Source organism: Homo sapiens, chromosome 13 (genome assembly GCF_000001405.40).
Source record: "Homo sapiens chromosome 13, GRCh38.p14 Primary Assembly".
NCBI lineage: Eukaryota > Metazoa > Chordata > Mammalia > Primates > Hominidae > Homo > Homo sapiens.
In genome coordinates, this window is record NC_000013.11 from 41,108,302 (window position 1) to 41,126,438 (window position 18,137).

The 18,137-nt window shown below is 43.0% G+C and overlaps 1 pseudogene; it reads left to right on the forward strand.

Annotated features, from left to right (window-relative positions):
* Positions 13,584 to 13,870, forward strand: RN7SL597P (RNA, 7SL, cytoplasmic 597, pseudogene; annotated as a pseudogene).

The window sequence follows — 18,137 nt, forward strand, 5'->3', positions numbered from 1 at the left end:
ACGAGGTGAGGAGTTCAAGACCAGCCTGACCCACATAGGGAAACGCCATCTTTGCTAAAAATACAAAAATTAGTCAGGCGTGGTGGCACCTGCCTGTAATCCCAGCTACTTTGGAGGCTGAGACAGGAGAATCACTTGAGTCCGGGAGGCGGATGTTGCAGTGAGCCGAGATCGCGCCACTGCAGTCCAGCCTGGGCAACAGTGCTAGACTCCATCTCAAAAAAAACAACAACAAAAAACAAAACTCTTCTTTACCTTTCACTTGTCTGCATACCTCATTCTTCCTGGATACAGGACAAGAACTCAGGCAAAGGCGCCATGGCCACAGAGGTTTCCAGCCAAAAAAGTTGATAACCCAGAGATCCCATAACAGTGGTATCCTAAATCCTAGACTCCATCTCCTTTTTCTTTCTTTTTTTTTTTGAGACCTCCTTGTTCAACTTAAAAAATCATTTTTCCCTTTCTAATCTGAGCAATATGCAGCAAATTTGGAAGCGTAAAATAAAGAACTCGATTCTTTATTCAAGCAGAATATGAATGGCCATTTGTCAAAAATGCCGTGTAACTGGCAAAACTGGTTGTTTGATTTTTAGGTAATTTCCAATTCTGTCATTCTGGGTGTCGACAAGTAGAGCCAGACAATAACTTGAAATAAAATATGGAAAAAAATTCAATTTACCTTGACGACTAACTGCAACTAAGTGATAAAGTAAAATAAACATGAAAATCCTAATTTTTGCCAGGTGCAGTGGCTCACGCCTGTAATCCCAACACTTTGGGGGGCTGAGGCGGGCGGATCACCTGACGTCAGGAGTTCAAGACCAGCCTGGCCAACATGGTGAAACCCCGTTTCTACTAAAAATACAAAAATTAGCCAAGCGTGGTAGCATGCGCCTGTAGTCCCAGCTACTCAGGAGGCTGAGGCAGGAGAATCACTTGAACCCAGGAGGTGGAGGTTTGCAGTGAGCCAAGATCGCATCACTATACTCCAGCCTGGGCGACAGAGTGAGACCCTGTTTCAAAATTTAAAAAAAAAAAAAAAATCTCAATTTTTTAGACTAAAGTGTGGAGTAAGCTTGGTGTTATACAACCACATGTCACTTATTGACAGAAATACATTTTGAGAAATGCATCATTAGGTTATTTCATCATTGTGTGAACATCATAGATTTTACTTACACAAATCTATATAGTACAGCCTACTACACCCCTAGGCTATACTGTATAGCCCGTTGCTCTGAACACTATCATATATGCAGTCCATTGTTAACTGAAACATGTGGTGCATGGCTATATATTAAAACGAGGAAATCCCAAAAACTAGAGAATAATCTGGACCCTGAAGCAGACCTAAAACACATCAGAGTTAGAAATGTCTTTCCATGGGTGATATGCTTTGGTTTTGTGTCCCCACCGAAATCTCATCTCAAATTGTAATCCCCATGTATTGAGGGAGGGACCTGGCGGGAAGTGATTAGATCATGGGGGTGTTTTCCCCCCATGTTCTCACAGTTTCCACTGTTCTCACAGTAGCGAGTTCTCACGAGATCTGATGGTTTAAAAGTGTTTGGCAGTTCCTCCACCACCACCGCCATGTAATGTATGCCCTGCTTCCCCTTGACCTTCCACCATGATTTTACGTTTCCTGAGGACTCCCCAGCCATTCAGAACTGTGAGTCAAATCTCTTTTCTTTATAAATTTTCCAGTCTCAGATATTCTTTATAACAGTGTGAAAATGGACTAATACAATGGGCCAAGCATGGTAGCTCACCCCTCGAATCTCAGGGGTTTGGAAGGCCAAGGTGGAAGAATTGCTTGAGGCCGGGAGTTTAAGACTAGCCTGGGTGGGCCGGGCGCGGTGGCTCACGCCTGTAATCCCAGCACTTTGGGAGGCCGAGGTGGGCAGATCACGAGGTCAGGAGTTCAAGACCAGCATGACCAACATGGTGAAACCCCGTCTCTACTAAAAATACAAAAATTAGCCGGGCATGGTGGCACGTGCCTGTAATCCCAGCTACTCAGGAGGCTGAGGCAGGAGAATCACTTGAACCTGGGAGGCAGAGGTTGCAGTGAGCCGAGATCACTCCATTGCACTCCAGCCTGGGTGACAGAGCGAGACTCTGTCTCAAAAAAAAAAAAAAGACCAGCCTGGGCAACACAGTGAGAGTCCATCTCTACAAAAAATTTAAAAATTAGCCAGGTGTGGTGGAACGCACCTGTAGTCCTAGCTACTCAGGAGGCTGTGGGGGGAGGATTGCTTGAATCCAGGATTTCAAGGCTGTAGTGAATTATGATTGTGCCACTGCACTACAGCCTGAGCAACACAGCTGTAAGTAAAAAAACAAAAATGTCTTTCAGACCAAGTTCTTTTCCTGCCTGCAGAGAAACCCGAGAAAACAAGACAGAGACCCTGCTCTCATCAAGATTATAATCTAGTGAGGATACAAACAAGTAGACAGGCAATTATAGCACACACATTGTCAGTGGAAGCTCTGGGAACCATGGGAGCCCATCCAAGGAGCACCAACCAGATGTCAGTATAAGGGAAGGCTTCCTGGAGAAAGTGATAGCTAATCTGGAACCTGCAGAGTGGGCATTAGTGAGGCCACAAGGTGCAATGAGAAAAGGTCTGACAGGGAAGAAGAGACAATGTATTTTCCAGAATCTGAAAGTAATTTGCTATGACTGAAGTATGCATGTCTTTCTCCTTCTTCTGTTTTTATTTATTTATTTATTTATTTATTTATTTTTACAAAATGACAGCATACTATATAAACTGCTTCTGATCTTACAGCATGTTCTATATTAATATATCAAGTGTGAGGATGAAGGCTGAGGCAGGTGGATCCCCTGAGTCCAGGAATTTGAGACCAGCCTGAGCAACATGTTGAAACCCCATCTCTACAATAAATACATAAAGAATTAGCTGGGCAGCCGGGCATGGTGGCTCATGCCTGTAATCCCAGCACTTTGGAAGGCCAAGGTGGGTGGATTGCCTGAGGTCAGAAGTTCGAGACCAGCTTGGCCAACATGGTGAAACCCCATCTCTACTAAAAATACAAAAATTAGCTGGGCGCAGTAGCACGTGCCTGTAATCCCAGCTACTCAGGAGGCTGAGGCAGGAGAATCACTTGAAACCGGGAGACAGAGGTTGCAGTGAGCCGAGACCATGCCACTTCACTCCAGCCTGGGTGACAGAACAAGACTCTGTCTCAAAAAAAAAAAGAATTAGCTGGGCATGGAGGCACACACCTGTAGTCCCAGATACTCAGGGAGCTGAGCCGGGAGGATTGCTTGAGCCTGAAATGGGGAGGTCGCAGCGAGCCGAGATTGCGCCACTGCACTCCAGCCTCGGCAACAGAGCTGGGATCCTGTTAAAAAAAAAAAAATTGTGAGGATGAGTCAGAGGTATAAAGATGAGCCAGAAAGGCAAGCAGTGAAAATGTATAAAGAAATTTATAAGCTATTTTAAGTAAATTGGACTTGTACCTGATTGCTATGGCCAGCCAATTAAAGATTTTAATCAGTGAAGAGACATGATCAGATTTGTATTTTATCAAGATCACTCTGGCTGCAACATAAAGCAGGGTCTAAAATATTTTTATTTTTGTTCTTTGGACATAGTTGGTGGTCTGGTAAAGCCTACAGATCCCATCTTGAATAATTATTTAAATGCCTAAAATAAAATGTGTAGGAATACACACAAAAAATGAAATTAGCAAAATAATTTCATTCACAATAGCCTCAAAAAGAAGAAAATACTTGGGAATAAAAGAAGTATAAAATTCATACTCTTGGCTGGACATGGTTGTTCATGCCTGTAATCCCAGCAATTTGGGAGGCCAACTGGGAGGACCGATTGAGCCCAGGTGCTTGAGGCCAGCCTGGGCAACATAGCGGGACCTTGTCTCTACCAAAAAAACAAACAAAAAAATTAGTCAGGTATAGTGGTGTGCACCTGTAGTCCCAGCTACTCAGGAGGCTGAGGCAGGAGGATTGCCTAAGCCCAGGAGGTTAATGCTGCAGTGAGCCAAGATCGTGCCACTGCACTCCAGCCTAGGTGACAGAGTGAGACCTTGTCTCAAATAAATAAATAAAATAAAATTAGTACCCTGAAAATTACAAATTATTGTTGAAAGAAATTAAGGAATACCTAAATTAATGAAGAATAGACCATGTTCATGGATTGGAAGACAATGTTGTTAAAATGGAAATATTCCCCAAATCGATCTACATTCAAAACAATCATGATCAAAATCCTACTTGATCCTAAAATTCATGTAGAAATGCAAGGGATGAAGAATAAGTCACAATAATCCTGAAATAGAAGCACAAATTTAGAGAAGTTCCTGATTTCAAACTTTTACAAAGTTACAGTAATCAAGACATTGTGGTGCTTGGGATAAGAGTAGACACATAAATTAATGGAATAGAACTGAGACTCCAGAAATAAACTTTTCTTTTTATGGTCAATTGAATTTTAACAAGGGTGCCAAGACCATTCAACGGGGGAAAGAATAGTCTTTTCAACAAATGGTCCTGGAACAAGTAGATATCCACATGCAAAAGAAATGAAGTTTGACTCCTTCATAACACCATACACAGAAATTAACTCAAAATGAATCATAGACCTAAATGTAAGAGGTAAAACTAGAACACACAGAGAAGTTGTAGGAGAAAATGTCCATGACCTATGTTAGGGAAAGACATGACAATGGGCTGTGTGTTGTATCTCCTGCCTGTAATCCCAGTGCATTGGGAGGCCAAAGCAGGATGATTGCTTGATGCCAGGAGTTTGAGACTAGCTTTAGCTACATGGTGAGCTTGTGTCTACAAATTTTTTTTTTAATTAGCCTTGTGTGGTGGTGCATGACTGTAGACCTAGCTACTTGGGAGGCTGAGGCAGGAGGATCACAGTAGCCCAGGAGTCTGGAGTTACAGTGATCTATGATTGTGCCACTGCACTCTAGCCTGGGTGGCAGAGCAAGACATTGTCTCATAAAAAAGAAAAAAAATTAAAATTTAAAAAGGAGAGGCATGACACCAAAAGCACAAACAATGAAAGCAAAATATATTGGACTTCATCAAAATAAAAAACGTTTGTGCTTCAAAGAACACAATAAAGAAAGTAAAAATGCACGGTGTATTAGTCAGCTGGACCTGCCATAACAAAACGTCACAGACTGGATGGCCTAAATAACAGAAAGTTATTTCCTCACAGTTCTGGAAGCTGGAATACCAAGACCAAGGTACCAGCAGGTGTGTTTTCCTCTGAGGCCTTTCTCCTTGGCTTGCAGATGGCCACCTTCTCTCTGTGTCCTCACATGGCCTTTCCTCTGTGCCAGTGCATTCCTGGTGTTTCTTGTGTGTCCTAATCTCCTCTACTTTTTTTCTTTTTTTTTTTTTGAAACGGGGTCTCCCTCTTTCGCCCAGGCTGGAGTGAAGCGGCGCACTGCTCACTGCAACCGCTGCTCCGCCAGTTCAAGCAATTCTGCCTCAGCTTCCTGAGTAGCTGGGATTACAGGCGCCCACCAACACACCCAGCTAATTTTTGTGTTTTTAGTAGAGATGGGGTTTCACCATGTTGGCCAGTTGGTCTTGAACTCCTCCCAAAGTGCTGGGATTACAGGCGTGAGCCACCATGACCGGGCCTCCTCTTCTTATAAAGACACCCTACTGGCTTCATTTTAACTTAATTACCTCCTTAAAAGTATCTCCTAATACAGTCACATTTGTACTGGGGTTAGGGTTTCCTTCATTTCCACCAAACGAAGATGTGTAAGTTAAATATGGTATATCCATGCAATGGAATATTAGACCATACAAAGGAATGAAATATTGATACATGCCAAAGCATAGATGAACCTTGAAAATATTATGCTAAGTAAAAGAAGCCAGATACGAAAGATCATATATTGTATCATATTCTATAATTCAGTTTATATAAAATATCTATAGAGACAGAGTAGATTAGTGGTTGCCTCAGTCTGAGGGAGGGGGTGAAGCTGAGAAGAAATGGGAGGTGACTGCTAATGCATACAGGGTTTCTTTGGGAGTGATGAAAAATAATGTTTAATTGTCATAATGATTGTACAACTCTGTGAATATACGAAACATTAAACTATATACTTTAAATAGGGAATTATATGATAAGTCAATTTTTTTTTTTTTTTTTTTTTTGAGACGGAGTCTCGCTCTGTCGCCCAGGCTGGAGTGCAGTGGTGCGATCTTGGCTCACTGCAAGTTCTGCCTCCCGGGTTCACGCCATTGTCCTGCCTCAGCCTCCCAAGTAGCTGGGACTACAGAGGCACGCCACCACGCACAGCTAATTTTTTTGTATTTTTAGTAGAGACGAGGTTTCACTGTGTTAGCCAGGATGGTCTTGATCTCCTGACCTCGTGATCTGCCCGCCTCGGCCTCCCAAAGTGCTGGGATTACAGGCATGAGCCACCGCGTCCAGCCATGATATGTCAATTGTATCTCAATAAAGCTATTAAAAATACATAGGATTACAAACAAATCCAATTATTTTAAAATACAGTTTTCAAAAAAGAAGTTTTTTTTTTGAGATGGAGTCTCACTCTGTTGCCCTGGCTGGAGTGCAATGGCGCGATCTGGGCTCACTGCAACCTCTGCCTCCAAGCAATTCTCCTGCCTCAGCCTCCCGAGTAGCTGGGATTATAGGTGCCAGCCACCAGGCCTGGCTAATTTTTTTAATATTTTTTTTTTAGTAGAGATGGGGTTTCACCATGTTGGCCAAGCTGGTCTCGAACTCCTGACCTCAGTTGATCTGCCCACCTCAGCCTCCCAAAGTGCTGGGATTATAGACATGAGCCACTGCGCCAAGCCTAAAATATTTTAAAAGCATAAGATAGTATTGAGCCAGGCGTGGTGGCTCATGGGATTACATGCCTGTAATCCCAGCACTTTGGGAGGCTGAGGCGGGTGGATCACCTGAGGTCAGGAGTTCGAGACCAGCCTGGCCAACGTGGTGAAACCCCATCTGTACTAAAAATACAAAATATTAGCTGGACGTTGTGGTGGGCGCTTGTAATCCCAGCTACTAGGGAGGCTGAGCCAGGAGAATCGCTTGAACCTGGGAGGTGGAGGTTGCAATGAGCCAAGATCGCGTCATTGCACTCCAGCCTGGGCAACAAGAGCGAAACTCTGTCCCAAAAAAAAAAAAAAAGATAATATTATATGTGCTTCTTTATACATAAGAAGATCTAGATCTAGCAGTAGGTCTTATCAATAACTACCATATTTCAGAGAACCAATGAATATAAATGATAATTTGAGATATTTGCAACAACTGCAACATGATATAAAATATTTACAATTTCTTTCTTTTTTTTGAGATGGAGTCGTACTCTCACCCAGGCTGGAGTGCAGTGGCTTGATCTTGGCTCACTACAGCCTCTGCCTCCACCTCCCAGATTCAAACAATTATCCTGCCTCAGCTCCCCAAGTAGGGTGGGGTGCTACAGGCACCTGCCACCACACCCAGCTAATTTTTGTATTTTTAGTGGAGATGTGGTTTCACCATGTTGGCCAGGCTTGTCTTGAACTCCTGACCTCAAGTGATCCGCCTGCCTCGGCCTCCCACAGTGCTGGGATTACAGGTGTGAGCCACTGTGCCCAGACTTGAAATATTTATAATTTCTATTGTTAGTAAAGTTACAGGTAGTGCTAATATTATTGTGGCTTATTGCTTACATTCATAAAAAGGAAATACTAAGTTTTAGTTATAGATTAGTGAAAATAAATATATATTTTTTCTCAACAAAGTTCATGAGCCCTCTGAATTCTACCTACATACTTTGGTGTGGGGGGGGGGGGTCTTCACACTCCATGTAATAAACCCTGAATTAAAGAAGAAACCAGATAGAAGGTTATTATAGAAGCCCAAGCCAGCATATATGTGGGCTAGTGTGAAGACAGCGGGGATAGGGAAAAGTGGGGAGCATGTAGCTGTATTTTGGGAGCCAAGTAAGTAGAGTTTAGTGATTGAATGGATGTGGATGGTGAGGCAGATGGAGGGAAAGATGATGTCTGGGCTCCTGCCATGTATCTGAGTGGACTTCCATCAAAACAGGAAGCATGGAAAGAGAAGCAGCTTCTGGGAAGTGAGACTAGGTGAAGAAAAAGAGATCTGTTTGGAATATGCTTATTACAGGCAGAGCTGTGGAACAAGATAACTGAATATATGGTTCTGGAGCTCAGAAGAAAAGATGAACTAGAGATACGGATTTGGGAGACATCAACATTAACCACGCTTGAATGCAGTGGCACAGAGAGAAGGAGAAATATAGAGAAAGAAGATGGCCAAAGCAGGAGCTAGAGGGTCAGAAACGTTCAAGGGAAGAGAAGATTGACTAGAAGGCAGAATAGATGTTGGAGATGGAGCAGAATCAGAGAAGAAGGAGGAAAGCCAGGAGAGTTGATTCCTAGCACCAGACAGATGCAGGGCTCACCTACAAAATTATACAGTTGTTTTATACACGTAGTTTGTAACATACTGTGCTTTGGGATCATATGATGTGCACTTTTATAATGTGTGCTGTTATACTTAACAAGCTTAAAACTAAAATTTAAAAATAGGCCAGGCGCGGTGGCTCATGCCTGTAATTCCAGCACTTTGGAAGGCTGAGGAGGGCAGATTACTTGAGCTAGGGAGTTGGAGACCAGCCTGGGCAACATGGCGAAACCCCATCTCCACCAAAAATACAAAAAAATTAGCCGGGCGTGGTGGTGTGCACCTGTGGTCCCAGGTTCTCAGGAGGCTGAGGTGGAAGGAACACTTGAGCTCAGGAGGTGGAAGCTGAAGTGAGCTGAGATCGCCTCGCTGTACTCCAGTGACATGACAGAGTGAGACTCTGTCTCAATTAAAAAAACAAAAAATTGCACTCTATTACTGATTCCAAGAAGCTATTTTATCTTATTTCATCTCTGACTTTTAAAAAACACAAAAAGTCTTCATTTAAAAATTACCACTTGACAAATTATTTATTTTTATTGTGGTAAAATATAAATAACATAAAATTTACCATTTTTAATAAAATTTGTATTTATTCATTTATTTATTTGTCTTAGAAATGGGGGTCTTGCTATGTTGCCTAGACTGAACTCGAACTCCCAGGCTCAAGCAATCCTCTCACCTCAGCCTCATGAGTAGCTGGGACCACACTGCACCCAACAATAAAATTGACCATTTTAATAATTTTAAGGGCATATACCCTAAAATTTAGTGGCATTAATTATATTTACAGTGTTATACAACAATCACTACTATTTCCAAAACATCTTTGTTACCGCAAACAGAAGATCTGTAACCATTTGAGGAGTAACTTTCCATTCCTCCCTATCCCCAGCCCCTGAAAACCTCTAATCTACTTTGTCTTTATGAATTTGCCTATTCTAGATATTCATATAATTCATAACAATAGTCATATGACTCCATTTCATACAAGTGGAATCATACAGTATTTATCGTTTTGTGTCTGGCTTATTTCACCCAGCATGATGATTACAAGTGTTCTGCAGTGGGCAGGGCTAAGCAAACCTACCCCCAAAGTCTGAGAAAGCTGAGAGGCCAAGGAGGCTGATATAACCAGCTCCTCAGAAAGAAACATTTAATAGGGACTTAAAAACAGAAGCCATAGTCTCTAAGGGCAGCAAGACAAGATGGTGGATCCCTGAGCCATTACTCGCCAGACCCAGGGCTTATGGTAGGGAAAGGGTATAGGTGACTCAGAAGGGATGTGTAAGAAAATTGCCTGTGGGCAGAATTTATAGTAAGTATAATAACATCAAGGTTGTCGGCCTAACAGCAGGATTTATGGTAAGTACATGCTGTTAACACAAGGAACAGTAGATAAAATAGAAATCTTAGAGGCACTGCAGGAATTGGGTTTAATCAAAAGTCCGCGTGGTGGATTAGCATTCAAGATGGAGTTGCTTTAGCCCTCACAAAAAAGTTCACCCATGTTTTAGCATGTATCAGTACCTCATTTCTTTTTATAGCTGAATAATAGTCCATTGTGAACATATACCATGTTTTCTTTATTTTTATTTATTTATTTATTTTTATTTTTATTTTTTTTTGAGACAGAGTCTTACTCTGTCACCCAGGCTGGAGTGCAGTGAGTGGCGCGATCTTGGCTCACTGCACCTTCCACCTCCTGCGTTCAAGCGATCTTCCCACCTCAGCCTCCTGAGTAGCTGGGACTACAGGCATGTGCTACCATGCCCTGCTAATTTTTGTATTTTTTGGTAGAGACAAGGTTTCACCATGTCGGGCAGGCTGGTCTCAAACTCCTGACGTCATGTGATCCGCCTGCCTCGGCTTCCCAGAGTGCTGGGATTACTGCACCACATTTTCTTTAGCTGTTCACCATTTGATGGACACGGGGTAGTTTCCATCTTTTGGCTATTGTGATTTGCTGAAATGGGCATTGGAGTACTAGTATCTGAGTCCCTGTTTTCAATTATTTTGGGCATATACTTAGAAGTGGAGTTGCCATATTAACATATGGTAATATTACGTTTAGCTTTTATACAATCTGCCAAACTGTTTGCCACTGCAGCTGCACTGTTTTACATTCCCCCCAACAACGTATGAGGGTTCTAATTCCTCACCAACACATGCTCTTTTCCTTTTATTATTATTATTATTACTGCGATCTTAGTAGGTACAAAGTGGTATTTCACTGTGGTTTTGATTTGCATTTCCCTAATGACTAATGATGAGTTGGGCATCTTTTCATGTGTTTCTTGGCCATTTGTTTATCTTCTTTGGAGAAACAGACTATTAAATCAGTGTCCAGTGTTATTGTTTCCACCTTCATTCTTTTTTTTTTTTTTTTTTTTTGAGATGGAGTCTCGCTCTATCGCCCAGAATGGAATTCAGTGTCATGATCTCGGCTCACCTCAACCTCTGCCTCCAGGGTTCAAGCGATTCTCCTGCTTCAGCCTCCTGAATAGCTGGGATTACAGGTGCGTACCACCATGCCCAGCTAATTTTTTTGTATTTTTAGTAGAAACAGGGTTTCACCATGTTGGCCAGGCTGGTCTCAAACTCCTGACCTCAAGTGATCCACCTGCCTCAGCTTCCTAAACTGTTGGGATTACAGGCATGAGCCACTGTGCCCGGCCTCCACCTTTATTCTCTTTTTTTTCTTTTCTTTTCTTTTTTGAGATGGGGTTTCACTCTTGTTGCCCAGGCTGGAGTGCAGTGGCTTGATCTCGGCTCACTGCAACCTCCATCTCCTGGATTCAAGCGACTCTCCTGCCTCAGCCTCCCAAGTAGCTGGGATTACAGGAAAGTGCCACCACCCCTAGCTAATTTTTTGTATTTAGTAGAGATGGGTTTTCACCATGTTGGTCAGGCTGGTCTTGAACTCCTGACCTCAGGTGATCCACCTGCCTCGGCCTCCCAAAGCTGAGATTACAAGCATAAGCCACCGTGCCTGGCCCACCTGCATTCTTTTGCATGTGAACGTGCAGTTATCCCAGCACCATCTGCTGAAGAGACTATTTTTTCCCCATTGAATGCCCTGGTGCTCTTACCAAAATCAACTGGCCACAAATCTATGGGTTTATTTCTGGACTAACAGTTCTAGTTTATTGGTCTACATGAAACCTCTTATGACAGTAAGAGGTTATGCTAGTACTACAATATCTGGATTACTATAGTTTTGTAATAAGTTTTAATATCAGGAAATGTGAGATTTTGTCTTTCATGAAGACTGGGCAACAAGAATATGTGATGATCAGGGAAAACCAGCATGTATTTAGTCTGTTTGAAAGTTTTATTTTGGCTGGGCACAGTGGCTCAGGCCTGTAATCCCAGCACTTTGGGAGGCTGAGGTGGGCGGATCATGAGGTCAAGAGTTCGAGACCAGCCTGACGAACGCTGTGAAACACTGTCTCTACTAAAAATACAAAAAAAAAAAAAAAAATTAGCCGGGCGTGGTGGCGTGTGCCTGTAATCCCAGATACTCAAGAGTTTGAGGCAGGAGAATTGCTTGAACCTGGGAGTCGGAGGTTGCAGTAAGCTGAGACCGCGTCACTGCACTCCAGCCTGGACGACAGAGCGAGACTCCGTCTCAAAAAAAAAGAAAAGAAAAGTTTTATTTTATTTACTCCTGGGGCTAGAGTGCAGTGGTGTGATCTTGGCTCACTGCAACCTCTGCCTCTTGGGTTCAAATGATTCTTGTGCCTCAGCCTCCCAAGTAGCTGGGATTACAGCATGCGCCACCATGCCCTAGTAATTTTTGTATTTTTAGTAGAGACAGATTTCACCATGTTGGCCAGGTTGGTCTCGACTCCTGCTCTGAAGTGATCCACCCACCTCGGCCTCCCAAAGTGCTGGGATTACAGACATGAGCCACCGCCTGGCCAAAAGTTGTATTTTGTAACTGTAAATTAATATATCAGTATTATGGCTTTTATATTTTTGATTCTTGATGGTTTGGTTTATATGATTCGGTACTTGAACCCAACCACATCAAGGTGTAGTAGCAATTGGATATCCAAACTTCTAAAGAAGAGAACTAGACCTGAGATACAGTGGCTCTCTGACAGGTAATCTTTCCAAGATCTATGGGCTAGACACCTGATCTTCCTCTGGCAAACCTTCCATTTCCCTGGACCACTTTCAATCTCTAACAGTGAGCAGATATCTAGATTTAGCTGTCTCAAAAGTTTGATTTCTGACCTAGTGTTGTGTAGCATTCAGTGCTTATTTAAAAGAATAAAAAGGCATGGAGTTTTCCAGAAGACTAAAATGAAGTTCTTACACATATACAACTCAAAATAGCCAGGGGTTCTGACATTGAAATCTGAAATCTTGATACCACTCTTTATATTGCCCCTTCTTATCTTTCACTTTGTCCTCTTGAGAGTGCCCCCAGTGTATTATTGAAGATGGTTGGATGTATTGAAGTGGATACTAGTTTTATAATGCCAAAACTGTCCAGCAAGTAAGCTAATTGCAATATAACTTCTTTTAGATAAGGTTATGGGACTGTTCACTGGTGAGTATTGAATCTGGGTTGTGCCTGACTTTCTTTTTTTTGAGACGGAGTCTCGCTCTGTCACCCAGGTTGGAGTGCAGTGGCACAATCTCAGCTTACTGCAACCTCTGCCTCCCGGGTTTAAGCTATTCTCTTGCCTCAGCCTCCTGTGTAGCTGGGACTACAGGCACCCGCCACCACGCCCGGCTAATTTTTGTATTTTTAGTAGAGACGGGGTTTCACCATATTGGCCAGGCTGGTCTTGATCTGCTGACCTTGTGATCCGCCTGCCTCAGCCTCCCAAAGTGCTGGGATTACAGGTGTGAGCCACCGCGCCCAGCCTGCCTAACTTTCTTTAGTATGTATGACCCAAACCTACAGAAAAGAAAATTCATGTAAACTCCATAAACTCCCTGTAGGGTATCTACCATTACAAAATAAACTCTGACTTTTAAAAACTATATACATGGTTGATGCACTGGCTCAGATAAATCTTGTTAATTGAACTAATGATGAGTGTTCTATGATAACCTAACCTAGTTTAATAAACCCTTCTGGCTAAGCATGGTGACATGCACCTGTAGTCCCAGCTACTTGGGAGGTTGAGGCAGGAGGATCGCTTGAGTCCAGGAGTTCTGGGCTGTAGTGCACTATGCTGATTGGGTGTCTGCACTAAGTTAGGCATCAATATGGTGATCTTGCAAGAGCAGGAGACCACCAGGTTGCCTAAGGAGGAGTGAACTGGCCCAGCACGGAAATGGAGCAAGTCAAACCTCCCATGCTGATCAGTAGTGGAATCACACCTGTGAATAGCCACTGCACTCCAGCCTAGGCAACACGAGACCCTGTCTCTTAAAAAAAAATAATTTAAAACAATTAGGCTCAGCGTGATAGCTCATACATGTGATCCCAGTACTTTGGGAAGCTGAGACAGTAGTTTGAGACCAGCCTGGGCAACATAGTGAGACCCTGTCTCTACCAAAAAAAAAAACCAACAAAGTTAGCTGACTATGGTGGGCTGCACCTGTAGATCCAGTTATTTGGGAGGCTGAGGTGAGAGGATCCCCTGAGTCCAGGAGTTCAAGCCTGCAGTGAGCTACGATTGTGCTACTGCACTACAGCCTGGGCAACAGAGTGAGATTCTGTCTCTAAAAAAATTTTTTTAATTAATTTAAAAAAATTTCTAAAAAATTCTTCTTAGTTCCTGCCCCTAAAATGTGAGTGGAGGGATGGGGGTGGGCAAGTACGTGATTTGGGGTCTTTTTCAGAGCAAGTCTCAATTTTAGAAAACTATTACCATTTTGCTAATTTAACATGACATTTAAGCAATAGGCAACTAAGAGAAAAAGAGGAAATGTTTAGGCTGTAACAGAGCTTTTCAGAGTTTGTTCTGCAGCAATTACCTTTCAAAACTCCTTTAACAACTTGGACAGAAAACCTGACTAAATTCATGCGTGCTCGTGGAAAGGTGGAGAAACTAGCGGGAACAATGTGTTGGGAGTGGAGGTGTGTGTCACATTGCTTTGTTTTTCCCCCTAGCTTTTATTGGTTTAAACAGATTTGGGTTTCCATTCTAATTCTCCACCATGTTCATAAAAGAGAAAAACATATAGTGTGAGAGAAATGTGATTTATAGTAACATCTTTATTTCATGATTAAAAACACTGTGTGTGTTTGGTTGTCTGGTAGAATATGCACATCAGAAACAACCTGTAGTTCTGGAAGCCTCTGGGTTGCTATAACAACCAGACAAAACAGTTTAATAACAGCTCTACCGCAAAGCTGGAAAACTGACAAAAAGATGAGAGCTATAAATGCAGGTGTTTGTCATATAAATGTGAACAAGTACCAAACACATTTATTTCTTCAACAAATATTCATTGAGTGCCAATGCCGCACCTGGTCCTATTGCTAGGAACTTCGAAAAAGATAAATATGGTCCATGCCATGACGGCATATACATTCTTCTTTTTTGGTGACAACAGGTGCACACCACATGCCTGGCTAATTTTTGGATTTTTAGTAGATACAGGGTTTTGCCATGTTGTCCAGGCTGGTCTCGAACTCCTGGACTCAAGCCATCCAATGCCTTGGCCTCCCAAAGTGCTGGGATTTACAGGCATAAGCCACTGCACCCAGCCTCATATATATTCTAATGGAGGAGACACATAATAAAGAATGAACAGATCGATAAACTGAATGCTTGCAGCATGAGAAGAGCCCTACCATAAAGCAAGCAATGCGATCATGATACCAAACAAGTACTAACTAGTGTAAAATATGGAGAAGACTCCAGTCATAGCATATATGAAAAATCTTGTCTTCACCGTGACTCACACCTGTAATCCCAGCACTTTGGGAGGTAGAGGCAAGTGGACCACCTGAGGTCAGGAGTTGGAGACCAGCCTGGCCATGATGGGAAACACCATCTCTACTAAAAATACAAAAATTTGCCGGCGTGGTGGCGGGCATCTGTAATCCCAGCAACTTGGAAGGCTGAGGCAGGAGAATCGCTTGAACCCGGGAGGCGGAGGTTGCAGTGAGCTGAGGTCGCGACACTGTATTCCAGTCTAGGCGACAACAGCAGAACTCCATCTCAAAAAAAATAATTGTTTTTAAGTTTTTACTTTTAAGTTAAAAACTTTTAAGTGTAAATTAAAACTTTTAAGTTTAAACTAAACTGAACTGGGACTACAGGTGCGCACCACACACCTACTTTTTGTATTTTTGTATTTTTAGTTGAGACAGGGTTTCACCATGTTGGTCAGGCTGGTCTCGAACTCCTGACCTCAGGTGATCCGCCTGCCTCAGCCTCCCAAAGTGCCAGGATTACAGGCGTGAGCCACCGTGCCTAGCCTTTTTTTTTTTTCTTTTGAGTAGAGATAAGGTCTCACTATGTTGCCCAGGCTGAGACTCCCTAGTTCTTTAAATAAGTTCCTTATATAAAAGTCCACTCTGTTATGTGGATCCTAATCTACAAAGTCATCTGAGACCCAGGCATTTCTGTCTTCCTGTTCTGCTATCCTTACTTAGGGTGTTGCCCTGACCAACATGGTCCAAGGTGGTTCATCCTCATGTCCACCCACATCCCAGCCATCGAGAAAGAAAGGGAAGGGGAGGGCACTACTGTCCCTGTAAGAGAAGTTGGGCATATTGCTTCGGGTCGCATGAAATTGGCCAGATCTTAACTACATGGCCACATCTAGCTGCAGGGATGCCTGGGAGAGGTAGTCTCTATTCTGGATCAACATGTATCTAGTTAGAATTTAGCCATTGCTCCTTGTAGGATAGGGGAGAAAGGCCATTTTTATTATTATTTATTTTTATCTTTTATTTTTTTGAGATGGAGTCTCACTCTGTTGCCCAGGCTGGAGTGCAGTGGTGCAATCTCGGCTCACCACAACCTCCACCTCCTGGGTTCAAGTGATTCTCCTGCCTCAGCCTCCCGAGCAGCTGGGACTACAGGTGCATGCCACCATGCTCGGCTAATTCTTGTATTTTTAGTAGAGATGGGGTTTCACTGTTAGCCAGGCTGGTCTTGAACTCCTGACCTCATAATCTGCCTGCCTTGGCCTCCCAAAGTGCTGGAATTACAGGCGTGAGCCACCGCACCCGGCCAAAAACTGGAAATTTCTTAGAGCTAACTAGGCTATCTAGCAACATTACAGCATTTTCTGTGCCTGAATCATCTTTGCAGTGCTGTGTGAATGTAATCTACTTATTTCCCCCTTTGTTGAAGTTCAAACCATTAGCCACAATAGTTTATTCAGAACTTAGTTTCTTGCCCATTTCTTGTACTAATTTCAGGTAAATTGTGCTTTAGTCAATATATACATATGGTGTCATTTTTTTTTGGTTTGTGAAAACTTCAAAACAGCTTTCAGAAAACATTTTGGATAACTACTTCTGTCAAGTACGTGACTCCATTCTATATTTCATTTCTACTTATCTCCGATAAACTTAAAGGTCCTGGGCGCAGTGGCTCATGTCTGTAATCCCAGCAGTTTGGGAGGCAGAGGCGGGTGAATGGCTTGAGCCCAGGATTTTGAGACCAACCTGGGCATCTGAAATCTTAATGCAGACTTGGGATGCAGCTGTGGAAGACCTTACATGGTTAAAAGAGACCAGCCTGGCCGACATGGTGAAACACCGTCTCTACTAAAAATACAAAAATTAGCTGGGTGTAGTGGCAGGTGCCTATAATCCCAGCTACTCAGGAGGCTGAAGCAGGAGAATTGCTTGAACCCGGGATGGGAAGGGTGCAGTGAGCTGAGATTGCACCACTGCATTCCAGCCTGGGAGACAGACCAAGACTCTGTCTCAATAAAAATAAAAATAAAAATAAAAATAAATAAGGCTGGACATCGTGGCTTATATGTGTAATCCCAGCACTCTGGGAGGATGAGGCTGGAGGATAAAATTTGAGGCCAGGAGTTTATTATTTCAACAAAAAATTTAAAAAATTAGCTGGTAATGGTGGTGTGTGCCTGTAGTCCTAGCTACTCAGGAGGCTAAGGTGGGAGGATGGCTTGAGTCCAGGAGTTCAAGTTTACAGTGAGCTATGATTGTGCCACTGCACTCCAGCCTAGGCAAAATAATACGACTCTAATATGGTTTGTCTGTGTCCCCACCCAATCTCGAATTGTAGCTCCCATAATTCCCACATCATGGGAGGGACCCGGTGGGAGGTAATTGAATCACGAGGGTGAGTCTTTTCTGTGTTGTTCTCCTGATAGTGAATAAGTCTCATGAAATCTGATGGTTTTATAAAGCAAGCTCCCCTGCACTTGCTCTCTTGCTTGCCGCCATGTAAGGTGTGACCCCTTTTTTTTTTTTTTTTTCTGAAATGGAGTCTCACTCTGTTGCCCAGGCTGGAGTGCAGTGGCATGATCTCAGCTCATTGCAACCTCTGCCTCCTGGGTTCAAGTAATTCTCCTGCCTCAGCCTCCACAGTAGTTGGGACTATAGGTGCCTGTCATCACGCCCAGCTAATTTTTGTATTTTTTAAGTAGAGACAGGGTTTTGCATGTTGGCCAGGCTGGTCTTGAACTGCTCTCATGTGATCCTGCCCACCTTGGCCTCCCAGAGTGCTGGGATTACAGGTGTGAGCCACCTTGCTT